The sequence below is a fragment of the Homo sapiens genome, chromosome 11 (assembly GCF_000001405.40).
Source record: "Homo sapiens chromosome 11, GRCh38.p14 Primary Assembly".
NCBI classification, from domain to species: Eukaryota; Metazoa; Chordata; class Mammalia; order Primates; family Hominidae; genus Homo; species Homo sapiens.
In genome coordinates, this window is record NC_000011.10 from 119,243,705 (window position 1) to 119,264,312 (window position 20,608).

Here is a 20,608-nt window from a genome sequence, read left to right on the forward strand (position 1 = left end):
CAATGAATATGCAATTGATCAAAAAACTTTTTTTTTTTCTTTTGGGAGGCAGGGTCTCTTGTCACCCAGGCAGGAATGCAGAGGTGTGATCACAGCTCATTGCAGCCTCAGCCTCCCAGGTTCGAGCAATTCTCTTGCCTTAGCCTCCTGAGTAGCTGTGACTACAGGTGTGTACCACCATGCCTGGCTCGTTTTTAAATTTTTTGTGGACATCGGGTCTCACTGTGTTTCCCAGGCTGGTCTCAAACTCCTGTGCTTAAGTGATCCTTTTGCCTTGGCCTCCCAAAGTGTTGGGATTACAGGTATGAGCCACTACTCCTGACCTCAGATTCTTTTTAAAAGAAGAAAAAAAATGTGGTAACTTCTTAGGTAACAGCACGAATTCACAAGAACAGTTCTGAAAATTTTCCCTTTTGTTGTAGTAATATGATCGCTAGATTATGGTGAAGTTCAGTGAACCTAGCTAGAGAGAGTGCAAAGTTGCTAGCTAGAAAGACTGGAAAACTGGGTTAGTTTATGAAGGTGAAAAGTCACAGTTAGTTCTCAGCATCATCCTGTACAAGGTAATAGTGCTTGTAGAGCAGTAGATCATAAATTACTATGGTTTGTTTAATTATGAAAACCTGATAATCAGATCATCTGTTTTCTTAGAAATTCTAATGTAATGGTAGGTTATATTAGTGCTTCAAACATGGTTTGCTTTTTATTTTTAATTAATTTTTTTTTTTTTTGAGATAAGGTCTCACTCTGCCGTGCAGGCTGGAGTGCAGTGGCACAATCTTGGCTCACCGCAGCCTCAACCTCCAGGGCTCATGTGATTCTCCCACCTCAGCCTCCTGAGTAGCTGGAACAGGTGCATGCTACCATGCCCGGCTAATTTTTTTTTTTTTTTTTTGAGACGGAGTCTCGCTCTGTCGCCCAGCCTGGAGTGCAGTGGCGTGATCTCGGCTCACTGCAAGCTCCGCCTCCCGGGTTCATGCCATTCTCCTGTCTCAACCTCCCGAGTAGCTGAATTTTTGTATTTTTTGTAGAGACGGGATTTTGCCATATTGCCTAGGCTGGTCTTGAACTCCTGAGTTCAAGCAATCCGCCCCACCTTACCTTACCATAGTGCTGGGATTATAGGTGTGAGCCAGCATGGTTGGCCTGTTTATTTTTGTGAGACAGGGTCTTGCTTTGTCACACAAGACTGGAGTCCAGTGACACAATCATAGCTTACTGCTGCCTCTTCCAGGATCATCAATTTACCTGCTTCAGCCTCCCAAGTAGCTGGGACTACAGGCACACACCCCAAGTAGCTGGGACTACAGGCACACACCACCATGCCTGGGCAGTTTTTTAATCTTTTGTAGAGATGGGGTCCCACTTTGTTGCCCAGGCTGGTCTTGAATGCCTGGCCTCAAGTGATTCTCCCACCTTGGACTCCGAAAGTGCTGGGATTACAGGTGTGAGCCACCTTGCCCGACCAGTTTTTTTTTTTTTTTTAAACCAGATATCTACCTGCTTGTCTAGAGCTTTTTTTTATTAATGCAGTTTTTCTCTCAGCCTTTTGGTTTGAGGACCCCTTTACATTCTAAAAATTTTTTGAGGACCTCAAAGAGCTTTTGTATATATGGGTCATATCGATCAACATTTACCATATTTGATATTAAAACCGAGAGATTTAAAAATATTTAGGTTTTTAACCTTTAAACACTTAACAATAATAAGCCTATTACATGTTAACATAAAAAGTTTTAATGGACCAGGTGCAGTGGCTCATGCCTGTAATCCCAGCACTTTGGGAGACCGAGGCAGGTGGATCACTTGAGGTCAGGAGTTCGAGACCAGCCTGGCCAACATGGTGAAACCCCATCTCTACTAAAAATACAAAAATTACCCGGGCATGGTGGTGGGTACCTGTAATCCCAGCTACTCGGGAGGCTGAGGCAGGAGAATCACTTGAACCTGGGAGGTGGAGGTTGCAGTGAGCTGAGATTGTGCCATTGCGCTCCAGCCTGGGTGCCAAGAGCAAAACTCCGTCTCAAAAAACAAACAAAAAAGAAATAGAGACAAGGTTTTGCTCAACCTTCTTCATAACTGGGACTATAGGTCTGTGTCACCATGCCTGGCTAATTTTTAAATTTTTTTGTGGAGATGGGATCTCACTATGTTGCCCGGGCTGGAATTTCTGTTGTTATAAATTAACTAGTCTTTGGTATTTTGTTAATAGCAGCCCAAGCAAACTAAGACAGACGCATTCTTTGCAAATCTTTTTTTTTTTTTTTTTTTTTTTTTTTTTTTTTTGAGGAGATGGAATCTCTCTTTGTCACCAGGCTGGAGTGCAGCGGCGCGATCTCAGCTCACTGCAGCCTCTGCCTCCTGGGTTCAAGGAATTCTTCTGCCTCAGTCTCCCAAGTAGCTGGGACTACAGGCGCGCGCCACCATGCCCAGCTAATTTTTGTACTTGTAGTAGAGACAGGGTTTCACTATGTTGGCCAGGATAGTCTTGATCTCTTGACCTCGTGATCCGCCTGCCTCGGCCTCCCAAAGTGCTGGGATTACAGGTGCGAACCACCGCGCCCGGCCTTACAAATCTTTTTAATACATAGTTTAAGAGAATACAGCTGGAGTTTCATATCTGCTGCATTCAGTGTGTTACAGTGTGATATTTTGGTTGAAGTTTATGGAGAAAATTCAGCTACCCACAAATATGTAGTTGGAAAGGGGGAGGGGTATTCATACTTTACCAAAACTGAACGAGTGTTAGTTTCTTTTTTCTTTTGAGATGGGAGTCTTGCTCTGTTGCCCAGGCTGGAGTGCAATGGCACAATCTCAGCTCACCGCAACCTCCGCCTCCTGGGTTCAAGCAATTCTCCTGCCTCAGCCTCCCGAGTAGCTGGGACTACAGACGTGTGCCACCACACCTGGCTAATTTTTGTATTTTTAGTAGAGATGAGGTTTCACCATGTTGGCCAGGCTGGTCTTGAACTCCTGACCTCAAGTGATCCACCCACTTCGGCCTCCCAAAGTGTTGGGATTACAGGTGTGAGCCAGTGCGCCCAGGCGAGTATTAGTTTCTTAAAAGGTTAGTTGCAGTGTGCAACTGCTTCAATTAACATTTTGTACTTTAAGATTCATGCTATCTTGTAATTGGAATGATTGTTTTACTTGTGCATGATTTCGTAACACACATTGGTCACTTGGAAAATATTGATTGACTAGGTTATAGAGATTTTTCCATATATTGATATATATCAAAACATTAAATTCATTAATTAAATCTCATTAGAAAAGTTTGGTATTGGGAAGCTGTTGCTGATGGTTGTGGATAGAAGTTTGAAAAATGAAATTTTGCTTAAAAGCTTGAGTTTCATTATTGACAATGAAAACTGCCAGTTTATCATCAGGTGACAGGGCACTTCATTTTGGAGAAACACTCTGCCAGTTATGCAAGTCTGAATAGCCATAGTTAGTCTATTCATCATTCTTTCAAGTAAAAATGATGTTCCATACCGTACATGAAAACACAGTTAATAACTTGATGGTGAAAGACTGAAAGCCTTCCCTTTAAGATCATGAAGCAGACAAGATAGCCTACTTTTGCCACATCTCATCAACGTGGTACTAGACGTTCCAGCCAGAGCAATTAGGCAAGGAAAAGAAAAGAAGCCTAATTGCTCTGCTGCAACTTCTAAGAAAAGATAGGAAAAAGAGCCATTTCCATTTGCATGTGACATAATTCTGTATGTAGAAAATTCTAAAGAATCCATTAAGAAAACACTAAAGCCAATAAATGAGTTCTGCAAAGTTGCAGGACACAAGATCAATATACAGAAATCATTTGCCGGGTGTGGTGGCTCACGCCTGTGATCCCAGCACTATGGGAGGCCGAGGCAGACGGATTGCTTGAGGTCAAGAGTTCAAGACTAGCCTGGCCAACATGGTGAAACCCTGTCTCTACTAAAAATACAAAAATTAGCTGGGTGTGGTGATGGGGGCCTGTAATCCCAGCTATTTGGGAGGCTAAGGCAGGAGAATTGCTTGAAACCCGGCAGGCAGGGGTTGCAGTGAGTCGAGATCATGCCACTGCACTTCAACTTGGGTGACAGAGCAAGGGTCCGTCTCAAATAAAAATTATAGTTTTATACATAAGGAATGAACAATCCAAAAATAAAATTAAGAAAATTCCATTTGCAGTAGTATCAAAAATAATAAAATACTTAGGAATAAAATTAAGGAGGCAAAAGACTTGTACACTGGAAACTACAAAACATTGCTGAAAGAAACTAAAGAAGACCTAAATAAATGGAGAGACATTCTGTGTTCATGGATTATAACTTAGAATTGTTAAGGTTGCAGTATTCCCCATGTTGATACACAGTCATTGCAATACCTATCAAAATTCCAGTAGCACTTTTTTCAGAAGCTGACTAGTGGATTTTAAAAGTCATAAAAAATCTTAAGGGACCTCAAATAGCCAAAACAATCTTGAACAAGAATAAAGTTGGAAGACTTGTATTTCTGATTTCAAAGCTTTACTGCAAAGCTGCAATAATCAAAACATTGTGGTACTGGTATAAGGATAGACATACAGACCAGTAGACTAGAATTGAGAGCCCAGAAATAAACCCTCATACATATGGTCAATCGATACTTTTTTGACAAGCTTCTCAATGGAGAAACAACAGTCTTTTCAACAAATGGTGCTGGGAAAACTAAATTATCACATTCAAAAGAATGAAGTTGGATCCTTTCCTTATGTTGCATATAAAAATCCTGCAGAAGGATGGGCCAAAAAAATGAAAACAAACAACTCTCAAAATGTATCAAAGACCTAAATTTAAGAACTAAAATACAAAATTTGTAGAAGAAACATAAGTGAAAATCTTCATGAATCTTGGATTAGGCAATGATTTCTTAAGTATGACACCAAAAGCATAAAGATAGATAAATCAGACTTCATGAAAATTAAGAACTTTGTTCATCAAAGGACATATTAAGGAAGTGAAAAGGCAGCACACAGAATGGGTCAAAATATTTACAAGTTATATATTTGATAAGGGATCAACATCCAGAACATGTAAAGAACTTCAAAACAACAACAAAACAAACCAATTCAAAAATGCTCAAAAGTTTTGAATAGATTTTTCTTCAGAGAAGATATACAGCTGTCCAATAAGCTCATGAAAGGATGCTCAACATCATTAAATCATTAAGGAAATGCAAATCAAAACCACAATGAGATACCACTTCACAGCTGTTAGGTGGATATTATTTTAAGAATAAAACCCTCATGCATTGGTGATAGGAATAGAAAATGGTACAGCCACTGTGGGAAACAGTTTGGCAGTTCTTTAGAAAGCTGAACATAGAATTACCATAGGATCTAGCAGTTCTTCTAGGTACATACCCCAAAGAATTGAAAGCAAGGACTTGAACAGATATTTGTACACCCATGTTCATAGCAGCAGTTTTCACAACAGCCAAAAAGTAGAAGCAGTTCAAGTGTTCAGCAGATGAGTGGGTGAAGCAAATGTGTTATAGCCATATGGTGGAATATTATTCACTCATAAAAAATGAAATTTTCGACTGGGCGTGGAGGTTCATGCCTGTAATCCCAGCACTTTGGGAGGCCAAGCAGGGCAGAACACTTGAAGTCAGGAGTTTGAGACCAGCCTGGCCAACATGGAAAAACCCCATCTCTACTGAAATACAAAAATTAGCTGGGCATGGTGGCACACGCCTGTAATCCCAGCTAGTTGGGAGGCTGAGGCAGGAGAACCGCTTGAACCCAGGAAGCAGGGTTCGCAGTGAGGTGAGACGCCACTGCACTCCAGCGTGGGTGACAGAGTGAGACTCGGTCTCAAAAAAAAAAAAAAAATGCTGTGGGCACATTATAGAGAATTGAAATCAAATAACAAAAGGGAAAGGAAAGTGACTAATATTGCTATTATTTTGGTACAGTTTCTTTCTTTCTTTCTTTTTTTTTTTTTAATTGAGACAGGGTCTCCCTTTATCTCCCAGGTGGTATGATCATGACTCACTGCAGTCTCAGCCTCCTGGGCTCAAGTATCGATCCTCCCACCTAAGCTTCCCAAGTTGCTGAGAATACAGGCACACACTACCATACAGACTAACTTATTTTTTTGTACAGATACAGCCTCATTATGTTGCCCAGGCTGGTCTCAAACTCCTGGGCTCAAGTGATCCTCCTACCTTACTCAGCTTCCTAGAGTGCTGGGATTTTAGATGTGAGCCACTGTGCCTGGCTTTTGTCTGCTAATTCTGTCATCTTTGTCACTCATAGATTTAATTCTATTGGTTTATTTTTATCCTCAGTAAGAGTCATATTTTTCTGTTTCAGTCCATGCTGGGCAATTTTTGAGTGGATGCCAGACATCGTTAATCTTACCTTGTTCTACACTGGATTCTTTTATATTATAAATACTCCTAAGCTGTGTTCTGGGACACAGCTATGTTACATGGAATAGTTTGATCCTTTTAAACCTTGTGAGGCAGGACCAAAATGACCTTTAATCTAGGGTAAATTTCCCCTGATGTCCATTGAATTGTAAGATTTTTTTCCTCTCTTGTCCTTGTGTGAGATCTAGGGATTATTCCCTCTACCCCTTTCAGGTGGTTCTTTCCCTAGCTTCAGGTATTTTCCTGTGTTGATCAGTGCTTAGCTGAAGACTTAGAAGGTCCCCTCTGTAGCTCTTCAAAGCTGGGCTTTCTTTATGCATCTCTCTCCTCTCTTGTATTTTGCACTGTGAACTCCAGATGCCTTGGCTTTCCCAGGCCCCAAATTCTGTCTTCTCAACCCAGAGTGACCGTCAAGTCTGCCTGAATTCCCTTTCTAGTGCTGAGACATGAAAACTCTCCAGGCAGTAAGTTAGATCAATCACAGGGCTTGCCTTATTTGTTTTCCTTTTTCAGGGGGTCCCTGTCCGCTATTGCCTGGTGTCCAGTTTGTGAAAATTATTTCAGGTGCACCAGCTCATGTCTGTAATCTCAGCACTTTCAGAGGCTGGAGGTGGGTGTATTCCTTGAGGCCAGGACTTTGAGACCAGCCTGGCCAACATGGTAAAACCCCGTCTCTACTAAAAATACAAAAATTAGCCGGGTGTGGAGGTGCGCGCCTGTAATTCCAGCTACTCAAGGGGCTGAGGCAGGAGTATCACTTGAACTTGGGAGGCAAAGGTTACAGGTAGCCAAGATCACACCACTGCACTACAGCCTGGGTAACAGAGCAAGACTCTGTCTCAAAAATAAAAAAATATTTTAAATATTTTGTCTAATTTTTTTAGTTCTTTCAGGTGAGAGAGTAAATCCAGTCCTTGTAGTTCCATCTTGGATGAAAGAAGTTGTCCCAGTCTAAAATTTAATTTGGGGTACTTCCAAATTCTGGTGCAATTAATATTTATCATGTGCTTGCTGTGTGCCTGATATATTCAAAACTCAACCTATCCTTCTTCCCTTACTCCCTACCTCACTATACACGTTAGTTGAGCACTTTCTCTGTGTCAGGTATTCTGTATTCATTGTGGAGCTAAATAACCTGGCCTTTGCCTTTATGTAAGGACAGTATTTTTCTCTTTAGAGTTGTGGACACCGAGGCTCAGAGAGTTAGATTAACATACGTTTACCAGCCTCTCTTCCTTAGAAACACACAATGGTTCAACCCAAAAAAAAGATAAGATAAGTCTGCCTTTACCCAAGGTTTTCAAAATGTTAATGAGCAGTTCTGTTTTGTTTGAATGTAAAGGAATGGTGACTGTTTCATTTCATATTACAGAAGTGATTCTTTGGAGGCCATACTTCAAACATCATATAAAGTAGTAAACTACATAAATTTAAGAGAAGTTACACATGTCTTAATAACCTAATAACCATGCCTTTTGGACACAAAAATATTCAGTAGTGTGATTTACAGCAGGATTATATGTTCACATAACGAGAGTTTCACTCCTGAAATTTCTAATGGAACATAGGCTAGATGATGCAGAGAGAGGAATTACAAAGAAACCCTCCTGCACCCACCCCCAAGAATCAGTGATAACTTTTGTAAAACTACGGTATTATAGAGAAGTAGGCTGTGAATGTCAAGTAGAAAGTGCAGAAGCTTTTTCCAATCACTTTACTCTAATATTGCCAACCAAGACTTGCTCTAAAACCATAATACTTGTGAAGTCTACAACTGCATTTAAATTAGGACATCTTAAAGAACAAGCCCCAAAACTGGCTACAAGAACGTCTTTCCTGCCAGGCTTTAGTATACAAAGCCAACAAATGCCTGCTAGAGATACCTAGTAGTGTGAAAATGTTAGCAGCATTGTAAACTTCAATCCTGGCAGCTTAGTTTTTTTTACTCTTATTTGTTGTGATTTGAATTTAATAATACATTTTCTTCAGAAAGCTTAAATCCTGTGTGTTAAATTTGTTACAGAAATGGAAAAAAAAAAAAACCTTTTGTTAACATTTTTCTTTTCTCTCTTTCCATAAACCCTCCCCCTACTCCATTTACATGCAGAACACTCATCCAGTCTAGTGTCTAATATATCTAGGTGGTTGAAATCCAAGTTAAGTATTTAGATTTAGTGTTTCTTAACTTGTTTCCTTATATTTATGGTATTTTTTTCAGGGTATTTACATTTAAAATAATCAGTTGAATATTTTCTTTCTAAAGTTGAACCAGATAATAGTGATTCCTTTCCTCCTGTTCTTTTACTTCATTGAGTATGATTAAAAAGCCACTTAGGGAAAGAAAATCTTCCATTGTGCTTTCTGTTAAATAGCAATCTAAGTGCTATTGACATCAACCATTGTGCAGGGCTTTTTAGGCCTATGTATGACTAAATATTAGATACTCTTAAAATCACTAGATTGAGGCCAGGTGCGGTGGCTCACGCCTATAATCCCAGCACTTTGGGAGGCCGAGGCGGGTGGATCACCTGAGGTCAGGAGTTCGAGACCAGCCTGGCCAACATGGTGAAACCCCATCTCTACCAAAAATACAAACAAACAAACAAACAAACAAAAAAACTTAGCTGGGCGTGGTGGTAGGCGCCTGTAATCTCAGCTACTTGGGAGGGCTGAGGGCAGGAGAATTGCTTCAACACAAGAGGCGGAGGTTGCAGTCAGCCGAGGTCATGCCATTACACTCTAGCCTGGGCAGTAAAAGTGAAACTCCATCTCAAGAAAAAAAAAAAAAAAAGATTAAAAAAAAATAAAATCACTAGGTTGAGGTTTTATAAATTATCTTCCTTGCAGATCCTAAATGATTAACATATTGTTGGTAGCATAGTTTCTTAGTCATTTTACCAGTTGGCACACTTACGTGTCAGTAGATACAAAGTGTTTAGCAGTGAGATGAAGGCAGTGTAGAATAAGGTTACATGCACATATCATGGAGCTGGAAACAAGTTGCTTTTAAAAACTCAGATTTCTCATTTCAAGTGTTCTCATAGTTTAATCATTTCAAAGTATAAACGTTATCAAAACATCACATTGTACCCCATGAATATAGACAATTATTTGTCATTTGAAAAAAAAATTTTTTTAAGTATTCTCATAAGATTGTTACAAAGTACTTAGAATAATGCCTGGTTCACAGAAAACAGGACATGGTATTTGATTAAAAGAAAATTAGAGCCATGCACCGTGGCATATGCCTGTAGTCCCAGCTATTCAGGAGGCTGAGATGGGAGGATCACTTGAGCCCAGGAGTTCGATCCAGCCTGCTCAATATAGCAAGACCTCATCTCAAAAAAAAAAAAAAAAAGTCATTGATGAAAAATTATGTAAAGGAGAAAGTGTTAATAAAAGTCACCCAGGCTGGACGATGTGGCTCACACCTGTAATCTCACCTACTCGGGAGGCTGAGGCAGGAGAATTGCTTGAACCTGGGAGGTGGAAGTTGCAGTGAACCAAGATCGTACCATTGCACTCCAGCCTGGGCAACAGGAGTTAAACTCTGTCTTAATAATAATAATAATAATAAAATTATCTGGGTGTGGTGGCGCATACCTGTGGTCTAAGCTGTTCTGGAGGCTGATTTGGGAAGATGCTTGAGTGTGGGAGGTTTAGGCTGCAGTGAGCTGTGATCATGCCACTGGAGTCTAGCCTGGGCAACACAGTGAGACCCCATCTAAAAACAAAAACAAAAACAAAAACAAAAATATCATCAGCCAGTCTTGTTGGCTCACGTTTGTAAGTAATCCCAGCACTTTTGGAGACTGAGGTGAGATCACTTGAGGCCAGGAGTTTGAGTACAACCTAGTCAACAGAGTGAGACCTTGACTCAAAAAAAAAAAAAAAAAAAAAAAGGACATACACTGATTGATGAAAAATTATAGAAAGGGGAAAGTGTTATCAAAAGTCAGCTGGTCTTGGTGCCTCACACCTGTAATTCTAGCACTTTTGGAGATCGAGGCAAGAGGATCACTTGAGGCCAGGAGTTTGAGACTAGCCTGTGTAATAGCAAGACCTCGTCTCTATAAAAAAGAAAAGTCATGTTCACTGAATTATACACTTAAAAATGCTTAAAATAGTAAATTTTGGTAAGTATATTTTACCACAATATTTAAAAAAGAAATGTCACAATTTAAAGTCCATTGAAATTTTCTTTTATGTAAGTGCAACCATGTATTGCTAACGACAGGATGCATTTTGAGAAATGTATTGCTGCCTGATTTAGTTGTTGTGTGAACGTCATAGAGTGTACTTACAGAAACCTAGATGATACAGCCGCCCACACACCTAGGCTATACGGTAGAGCTTATTGCTCATAGGCTACCAACCTGTACAGCATGTTACTGTACTGAGTACTGTAGACAGTTGTAACACAATGGTAAGTATGTATTTTAACATGTAAACATAGAAAAGGTGCAGTAAAAATGTGGTATTATAATCTTTTTTTATCTTTTTTTTTTTTGAGACAGAGTCTCGTCCTGTCGCCCAGGCTGGAATGCAGTGGTGCCATCTTGGCTCACGGCAGCCTCCGCCTCCCAGGTTCAAGCAATTCTCCTGCCTCAGACTCCTGAGTAGCTGGGATTACAGGTGTGCACCACCACGCCCAGCTAATTTTTGTATTTTTAGTAGAGACGGGGTTTTGCCATGTTGGCCAGGCTGGTCTGAAACTCCTGACCTCAGGTGATCCTCCCACCTCAGCCTCCCAAAGTGCTGGGATTACAGGTGTGAGCCACCACGTCTGGCTGCGAGTATTTTTTGAGAACTTGTTCTCAGTAGATTCATGGTGAGCATCAGTGACATCATTTAGACTGGAATTCATGGGTAGAAGTAGGAGCAGGTACACAGTTCTCCTATTCTCTTGGTGTCCTGTGGAGTGGCGTGCTTGGATTGGGGCATAGGTGGATGTACCATGAGACTGGGCTCCATGAAAGAATTCTGCCTGCCTTCCCCTAACCTTCTTTATGGGATTGAGCGTGATAAGTGAAGTTAAAAAGCGTGAGTTTGGGTACTGACTTTACAGGAGTTGCTGACAACTAGTGCCCTGGTACCTAGAGACTGTGTGGAGCTTCGGGAAGGTGCTTTGGAGAAACTCCTGGCCAGAGGGAGGGAGGAGCCAGGAGCCCCAGATCCTCATTAGCTCTTTGCTAAGCAATCCAGAAAGAACAAAAAGATCAGTTGGCCAAATTTGGTAATCCAGGTGAGATCATGATGGCTTGGACTAAGGTAACAACTCGACTAAGATGGAGATAAAAAGCTGTTGGCACTGTGAGATGATTATATGTTTTTTCCCTGTATTATGTTACTGCAGTGAATTGTTCATAAATTTGCAAAGTTAAACCATCCTTGCATAAATTCTAGTCTGTAATTATATATTTATAATTATATAAAAATACATATTTTACTATTTCTCTGGATTCTAGTAATCATTTAGGACTTTTTCCATCTATATTGGTAAGTCAAGCTAGTACATATAAATTTTTTCATGGTCTTTGTCTCATTACGGAAGTAATCAAAATGAGTTATTTATCTTCCTGTATTTGTGAACAGTTTGTAAAAGAGTTTGCTTTTGCAGGGTACATTTAGCAAAATTCTATAATATATCACAGCTTAATGTTTGTGCTTATGCACAAATGAATGTATGTCTATATATGAATGATGGAGAATGGATTTTGATACCTATTCTATTTAATGGTTATTGTTTTATTCAGGGTTTAAAATGGCCCATTTCCCCTTAATTTATACTTTAAAAAAAAAAAAAGTAGAGGCAGGGTTTTACTGTGTTGCCCAGGCTGGTCTTGAACTCCTGGTCTCAAGCAGTCCTCCTGCCTTGGCCTTGCACAGTGCTGGGATTACAGGCATGAGCCACTGCACCTGGCCGATACATTTAAAAATAATGCCTGCCATCTAGTAGGCATTCAGTATTTATGGAGTGAATAAATTAATGAACGTTATTGAAATAGAATCCATTGCATTTTGTTGTTGCAGTAACGTCTATATGTTAAGCCTCCATTCTACTTGATAGTATTTGTACATTCTTTTTTTTTTTTTTTTAAAGATGGAGTCTCGCTCTGTCGCCCAGGTTGGAGTGCAGTGGTGCGATCTCGACTCACTGCAACCTCCGCCTCCTGGGAGTAATCCCAGCCTCCCGAGTAGCTGGGATTACAGGCATCCGCCGCTACGCCCAGCTAATTTTTGTTTTTCTCAGTAGAGATAGAGTTTCATCATGTTGGCCAGGCTAGTCTTGAACTCCTGACCTCAGGTGATCCACCCACCTTGGACTCCCAGAGTGCTGGGATTATAGGTGTGAGCCACCATGCCTGACCATATTTGTACATTTTGAAGATTTTTACTGATTTATCATGATAGATTTAAGTTGATGCTCTTTTTTTTAGATTTTTCTTTTTAAAAATTTCAGTAACTTTAGGGATACAGGTGGGTTTTGATTATATGAATGAATTATATAGTGAAGTCTGAGATTTTGGTGCACCCATTACCCGAGTAGTGTACATTGTACCCAGTATGTAGTTTGTTTTTTTTTTTTTTTAATCCCTCCCTGCCCTCCCACCTCCCCGCTTCTGAGTCTCTAAAGTCCATTATACCAATCTGTATGCCTTTATGTACCCAGAGCTTAGCTCCTACTTATAAATGAGAACCTGTGATATTTTGTTTTCCATTCCTGAGTTACTTCACTTAGAATAATGGCCTCCAGCTCCGTCCAAGTTGCTGGAAAAGACATTATTTCATTTTTTTCTATGGCTGAGCAGTATTCCATGGTGTATATATTAATGTATCACATTTTCTTTATCCACTCATTGGTTGGCAGGCACTTAGGTTGGTTCCATATCTTACAGTTGTGCATTGTGCTGTGATTAACATATACGTGCAGGTCCTTTTCATACAGTGACTTATTTTCCTTTAGGTAGATACCCAGTGGTGGGCTTGCTGGATTGAATTGGCAGACCTACATTTAGTTCTTTGAGAAATCTTCATACTATTTTCCACAGAGGTTGTGCTAATTTACTTCACCACCAGCAGTGTATAAGCATTCCCTATTCAAATGAACAAATAACTAAATGAAGCATTCCCTTTCACTATGTACACATCAGCATCTATTGTTCTTTTGATTTTTTAAATAATGGCCACTCTGGCTGGGGTAAGGTGGTATCTCATTGTGGTTTTAATTTGTATTTCCATGATGATTAGTGACGTTGATTATTTTTTCATTTGTTTGTGGCCACTTGTATATCTTCTTTAGAGAAATGCCTATTTATGTTGTTTGCCCACTTTTTGATGGGATTATTTGTTGTTGTTGTTTTCCTTGCTGATTTGAGTTCCTCATAGATTCTGGATATTAGACCTTTGTTGGATGCATTGCTTGCATGTATTTTCTCCCATTCTGTGGGTTCCATTTATTTTTGTTTTTGTTGCATTTGCTTTTGGGGTTTTAGTTATAAATTCTTTGCCTAGGTCAATGTCCAGAAGAGTTTTTCCTAGGTTTTCTTCTAGAATTTTTGTGGTTTCAGGTCTTAGATTTAAGTCTTTAATACATCTTGAGTTGATTTTTCTATGTGGTGAAAGATAGGGATTCATTTTCATTCTTCTACATGTGGCTATGCAGTTTTCCCAGCACCATTTATTAAATAGGGTGTGTCCTTTCCCTAATTCATGTTTTTGTATGCTTTGTCAAAGATCAGTTGGTTTTAAGTATTTGGCTTTATTTCTGGTTTCTCTATTCTGTTCCATTGGTGTATTAGTCCATTCTTGTACTGCCATAAAAAAATACTTGTGGCCGGGTGCTGTGGCTCATGCCTGTAATCTCAGCACTTTTGGAGGCTGAGGCAGGCGGGTCACTTGAGGTCAGGAGTTCGAGACCACCCTGGCCAAAATGGTGAAACCCCCTGTCTACCAAAAATATGAAAAATTAGCCAGGTGTGGTTGTGCACGCTTGTAATCCCAGCTACTCGGGAGGCTGAGGCAGGAGAATCGCTTGAACCTGGGAGGCGGAGGTTGCAGTGAGCCGAGATTGCACCATTGCACTCCAGCCTGGGCGACAAGTGAGACTACGTCTCAAAAAAACAAAACAAAACAAAAAACAAAAAGACTTGAGACTGTAATTTTTAAAGAAAGAGATTTAAGTGGCTCATGGTTCTACAGGCAGTACAGGAAGCATAGTGGCTTCTGCTTCTGGGGACGCCTCAGGAAACTGACAGTCATGGTGGAAGGTGAAGGCAGAGCAGGCACCATGGCCCGAGCAGGAGGAAGAATGAGGGAGGAGGTGCTACACACTTTCAAAGGACCAGATCTCCTGAGAACTCTATCACTGTATAGTACCAAGAGGGGATAGTGCTAAACCATTCATGAGAACTCTGCCCTCATGATCCAGTCACCTCCCACCAGGCGCCATCTCCAGCACTGGGGGATTACATTTCAACATGAGATTTAGGTGGGGACAGATCCAAACCATTCAATTGATCTATGTATCTTTCTTTATACCTGTACCATACTGTTTTGGTTACTATAGCCTTAATAGTATAATTTGATGTTGGGTAATGTCATGCCTTTAGATTTGTTATTTCTGTTTAGGATTGCTTTGGCTTTTCAGGCTCTTTTTTGGTTCCGTATGAATTTTAGGATTGTTGCTTTTAATTCTTTAAAAAATGATGTGGGTATTTTGTTAAGAATTGCATTGAATCTATCGATTGCTTTGGGCAGTATGGTCATTTTCACGATACTGATTCTTCCAGTCCCTGAGCACGAGATGTGTTTCCATTTGTTTGTGTATTCTGTGATTTCTTTCAGCAGTGTTTTGTCATTCTCCTTGTAGAGATCTTTCATCTCCTTGGTTAAATATATTCCTAGGTTTTTATGTGTTGTTTTCTTTCAGCTATTGTAAAAGGGATTGAGTTCTTGATTTGATTCTCAGGTTGGTCATTGTTGATGTGTAGCAGTGCTGCTGACTTGTATACGTTGATTTCGTAACCTGAGACTTAACTGAATTCACTTATCAAATCTAGTTGTCTTTTGGAGGAGTCTTCGGGGTTTTTTTTAGGTATGTGATGATATTATTGGCAAAACAGAGATAGCTTGACTTCCTCTTCCAATTTGGGTGCCCTTTCTTTCTCTTGCCTAATTGCTGTGCCTGGGTAAGTTGGTAGTCTTATGTGGCTTTAAGTTTCTTGTATTCTGCTTAAGATACATTTGTGATTTTTTTCTCCCATGTATTGTTTATTCTTATGTTTTTCCCCATTTATTGAATATACCTCTGCTTATTTGACAATACTGAAATTTTGTGTATTTACTTATATATTAGAGCCACTATGCAAAAGTAAACAGTATTTACTAAATTTATGTGAATTTAGTAAACACAGTAAATACTATTTACTTTTGCATAGGGGCTCTAATGTTCAAGTTCCATATAAATATAAATATTTCTGGTGGGAGAATTATGATAGATACCACTGGATGGGTGTTAGAACTCCCCAAAATTGATAATTTTTGAGGTGCTAAGATACTAAATGTGTTTTCATCAAGCTTATATAAAAGATACTGAGAAACAAAGATTGGGTCTCAAAGAGATGGCATTAGTTTCTGCCTTAGGTGAGAACAACTAAAAAATTGGCATCGTTTTCTTATAAATATAGCTCATTTGGGACATGGATTGTATTTCCAAATACCTGTCACATGGATTTATTCTGCCTTTTGTAGGAGAAACCTGTAATATTGTTCTTTTGTATCCTTCCGATTCTATCTCACTTACCTCCACACTCTTCTCAAAGGGGGAAACTCAGTTTCAGCTTGATTATCTTGTACAAGGGCACTAGCAAATGGACCGTTCCATTCCCAGAGATGCCAACAATCTTACACAGATTATTCACAAATCTGTTTTCCCAAGCTACCTGCTAGTTATACTCATGTTAGTATCTTCCCACACTCAAAATACCTGAACACTGAATGTATCCTCTTCATCAGCAAACCAACTTCCTCTTTCATGTCCCGTTACTGAGTTAGTACTGTATAATGTAGTGAGTAGTGATGATGAGCATGGATTGATTATTGGCTTAGCTTCTTTTTTTTTTTTTCTTTTTCTTTTCTTTTCTTTTTTTTTGAGATGGAGTGTCACTCTGTCGTTCAGACTGGATTTAGTGGTGCAATCTCGGCTCACTGCAACCTCCACCTCCTGGGTTCAATCAATTCTCCTGCCTCAGCCTCCCGAGTAGCTGCGACTACAGGCACGTGCCATCACGCCTGGCTAATTTTTGTATTTTTAGTAGAGATGGGGTTTTACCATGTTGACCAGGCTGGTCGGCTCAGCTTCTTTATGCCTAAATTGTCTCATCTGTAAAATGGGGATAATATTGGAATCTGATGGGATTGTAAGTGAGAATTAGTTAAATAACAAAATACGTAAAGTGCCTGGTACTTAGTAAGCCCTTAAAAAACATTAGCTTTTACATTATTACCAATATATTATTGGTAATACCCTAGGTTTATCTCCTCTCTTACTCAGTCATACTCTTGATTTTACTGCTGCAGTCTGTCTCAAATCTGTCTTTATTTTACTGCCCCTGTTACTTTTCTATCTCAGGCTCCCATTACTTTTCTACTGCACTACTATGCTGATTGATCTCTCTGCTTTCGCAGTTTCTTCTTTCATTCACCTTCTACATTGCTATCATTTTCGGTCTTAAAATGATCAGATATCACTCCCCAGTCCCAGATCCTTAATGACTCCCCACTGCACTGCATTTGTATTTTCTTTCACTTTGGCAGTTAAATCTCTACTTTTTTTTTTTTTTTTTTTTAATGGAGGCAAAGTCTCCAGGCTGGACACTACAACCTCTGCTTCCCAGGTTCAAGCGATTCTGATGCCTCAGCTATCCGAGTAGCTGGGATTACAGGTGTGCGCCACCACGCCTGGCTAATTTTTTGTATTTTTAGTAGAGATGGGGTTTTGCCATGTTGGCCAGGCTGGTCTCGAACTCCTGACCTCAGGTGAGCCGTCTGCCTTGGCCTCCCAAAGTGCTAGGATTACAGGCGTGAGCCACCGCGCCTGGCCTCTAGATTCTTTTCCATGGAACATTTATTGAAGATTTCTCTAGTTTTTGTCCCTTTTAATAGTCTTATATTCGGACAGAGAACATTCCATGTTCTTTCTCAAGTTTTGCAAAGCTTAGTATTAGCTACTCTGTTTATTTGTTCAGGGAAATGCTATGTTTAAATGGAAATCGATGTCTAAGTTACATACTCAGGAGTTAAATAATTAATGGTAACTAGATATAGACTTTCTACATATTTGATTAGATTCTATTAGTGCTGTCTCAGTATAATTTGTATCTGTATATTTTAAGTTGATTGCATTAGCTTTCTAAAAGGTGCTTGGTGGTGGTTGTCATTTGTTGAGGGAGAGGGTATGAGAAGTTTTAAAGATTTCAGCATTATCTTACTGATATGTTTGTATATGTCTTTAAGGAACTGGTGTAGAGAAGTAGTAACCAGTACTGAGGGTTAATATGCTTTCAATTGTGGGCAAATGCTCCAGTGCATGTAATTCTACTTATTAAAGTTGTCTTTCAGAGCTCGGGTTAAGTGAACTCAAAAGTTATTTTGAAATACAGAGAAATCTGATTAAACAGGACCGTGAAGTAACATAGCTAGTGAACACTTGCTAAATGTTCACAATGATTGTTTTGAACCATTTTTGTTTTTTTCTAACCACACTGAAAACTAAAGATACTAATGTAAAATATTTGTGCTTTAATGAGAATGTATTAGAGTCATTTAAAAATATTATTGACTCTTGTATAAGTGATTTTTTTAAAAAAGATATAAGAAAGAAGGTGTGGAGAAGTAAATATTTTTCACTAATAGCTTCACCTGCAGAATCATGGCATGCAAACACTAAGTGATCGAGTTGAACATTTTCAGTGATACCATGTAGATATTATGACTTGATGTGTTGAGAAGGGCACTTCACCTCTGTTATTCTTTCCATAAACTCGTAACTCCAGTCAAAATATCAGAAAGACAGACAGACACACTGAGAGACATCCTTTAAAATACTTGAACAGCGCTCAGAACTGTCATGAAAAACAAGGAAAGACTAAGAAATGATTACAGACCAGAGGAGACTAAGGAGATAGGGTGAGTAAATGTAAAGTGGTATCCTTGATTGGATCCTGGAATAGATAAAAACATTAGTGGAAAAAACTGGTGAAGCCTGGATATAGCCTGGGATTCAGTTAGTACTACCATACTGATGTTGGTTTCTTAGTTTTGAAGAATGTCCCACAGTAATATAAGATGGTAACATTAGGGGAAACTGAAACTGGATTTGGGTTTTATGGGAACTCCCTGCGTGGTCTTTATAACTTTTCTGTAGATGTAGAATTATTCTGAAATTAAAAATTTGTCAAAAGTAGGTAATATTTTCCAGTTCAGTTCTACAAATGTATTGAATGCCTGTTATGTGCCCAGTGTGACCAGGGTTGCAGGGGATAAAGTGTGTAAGAGATACTTTCCCTGCCTCTGCCCTTAAGGAGTTGTCTTCCAGATTGGGGAATAAGACAATTAATATGAAGCAGAACGTGATGGAACCTGTGAAAAACTATGAGCAAGTTGCTGTAGGGGGTTCAGAAGCTGAGAGTAGACGTTAAATATAGACTGGAGAGTCCTCCCCAAGGAGGCAGTGTTTGAGAACTTTGAAGAATGGGCAGGATTTAGTAACCGTAGTCATTGGAAAGGAAATGTGTCATAACCAAAGAGCCCTGGCTCTTGAATTTCATAGACCTATGCTGCCCCTTACTAGCTTTGTGACCTTGCAAATTATTTAATGTCACTAAGTCTTTGTTTCTCATTTGTAAGATACGGTTAGTAATTCCTATTTCAAAGCATTATGAGAATTAAATGCACTTTATTTAGCTTAGTAAAGCATCTAATCCCTAGTAAACTCTTAGTGTTAACTGCTAGAGATGGAGAGAAGCATATATTGTTGATGCAGTACCAATACCACAGGCACAGAGCCTGGAAAGCGTAGATAGAGTGTTTGGTGGAACATTGACTGGTATTAGAAAGGTGAATTAGGACTACATTGTGAGTGCTTTCATGTATCAGGTCAGCAGTTTGAACTTTTTAAGTGGTAATTGAGAAGTCATTAAAGATTTTCATGTAGGGGGAGTAAGGAGATTGAGTCTGTTTTAGGATTAATTTGATAGAAATATGAGGGGAGTGTTGGAGGCTCTCATGTGGGTTGCTGCCTTCCCATTTACTTGGTGAGTTAGATGTGTCCCCTTTAGCTTTAGAATTCAGTGAAACAGTTAGCTTGAAATGCTCTGGATGATTAGTAGGAATCTGTTACTGTGTAACTTGGGAATTTCAAAAGCAGGACCATGAGTATGTAGTATCAAATACACTTAATATGTGTTTAGTAAAAAGGGCCATTGCTATTTTTAGATGTATTGGCTGAGAACTCCTTTTGTAGGTGATGGTTTTCGTTTTGTTTTGTTTTGTTTTGTTTTGTTTTTTAACAGCTTAAGTCGATGATAAGAGTTAAACAGTACTTCATTGACTTCCTGTGAGGCTTTGTGGAAAACAGTTCCGTTGTATCTATTTTTAAAGCTGATTACTGTGAGCAGAGGATGCTGCTATTGAGTTATAAATGTCATCTCAGTATGTTCTCACTCAGCATTCTTTAGATGACACTAGTGTTTGGATATAAGGTTTCTGGAGTTTATCTGATAGGAAAAGCAGCAGTTATCACTGAAATAGTACCAGTAAATGAAATACTTAAAAGCAGTGATCATGTTACCCTTCAGCAGTATAATTATCATCATCTATATGAGTCTTAAGCCTATACCATCACTGAATGGCAAAAAATTGTAACCTTATTTTGGGAATATTTTGCAACCCTGTAATCGTATTGTATAATGTTTTACAGCTTTTTTGTTAATCATTGTATTAAAAGTATTAAATCATCTTGGAATTTTCCTCTTGAGAACGATAGGATCATTTGATTTACAAATATTGTTAAAATACACTTACCTGTAAATTATTGGGGGTTTTCTTCAGTGGATTTTTTGGTTTGTTTTTAGAGACAGTCTTGCTATGTTGCCCAGGCTGGTACGAAACTCCTGGCCTTCAGCCATCCTCCCATCTTGGC

General features: G+C 39.3%; 1 protein-coding gene across 1 annotated transcript in view, besides 2 other annotated features; it reads left to right on the plus strand.

The window, feature by feature from the left end:
- CBL (Cbl proto-oncogene) overlaps positions 1-20,608 on the plus strand; it is a 101,811-nt gene that overhangs the window by 37,366 nt on the left and 43,837 nt on the right. The window lies entirely within an intron of this gene.
- Positions 16,914-16,973: an enhancer, noted in NCBI's record as "active region_5627". NCBI's record gives its function as "activates an Ori minimal core promoter by ATAC-STARR-seq in GM12878 lymphoblastoid cells {active_cell/tissue: GM12878}" and the evidence as "EXISTENCE:reporter gene assay evidence [ECO:0000049][PMID:35858748]".
- Positions 20,014-20,063: an enhancer, noted in NCBI's record as "active region_5628". NCBI's record gives its function as "activates an Ori minimal core promoter by ATAC-STARR-seq in GM12878 lymphoblastoid cells {active_cell/tissue: GM12878}" and the evidence as "EXISTENCE:reporter gene assay evidence [ECO:0000049][PMID:35858748]".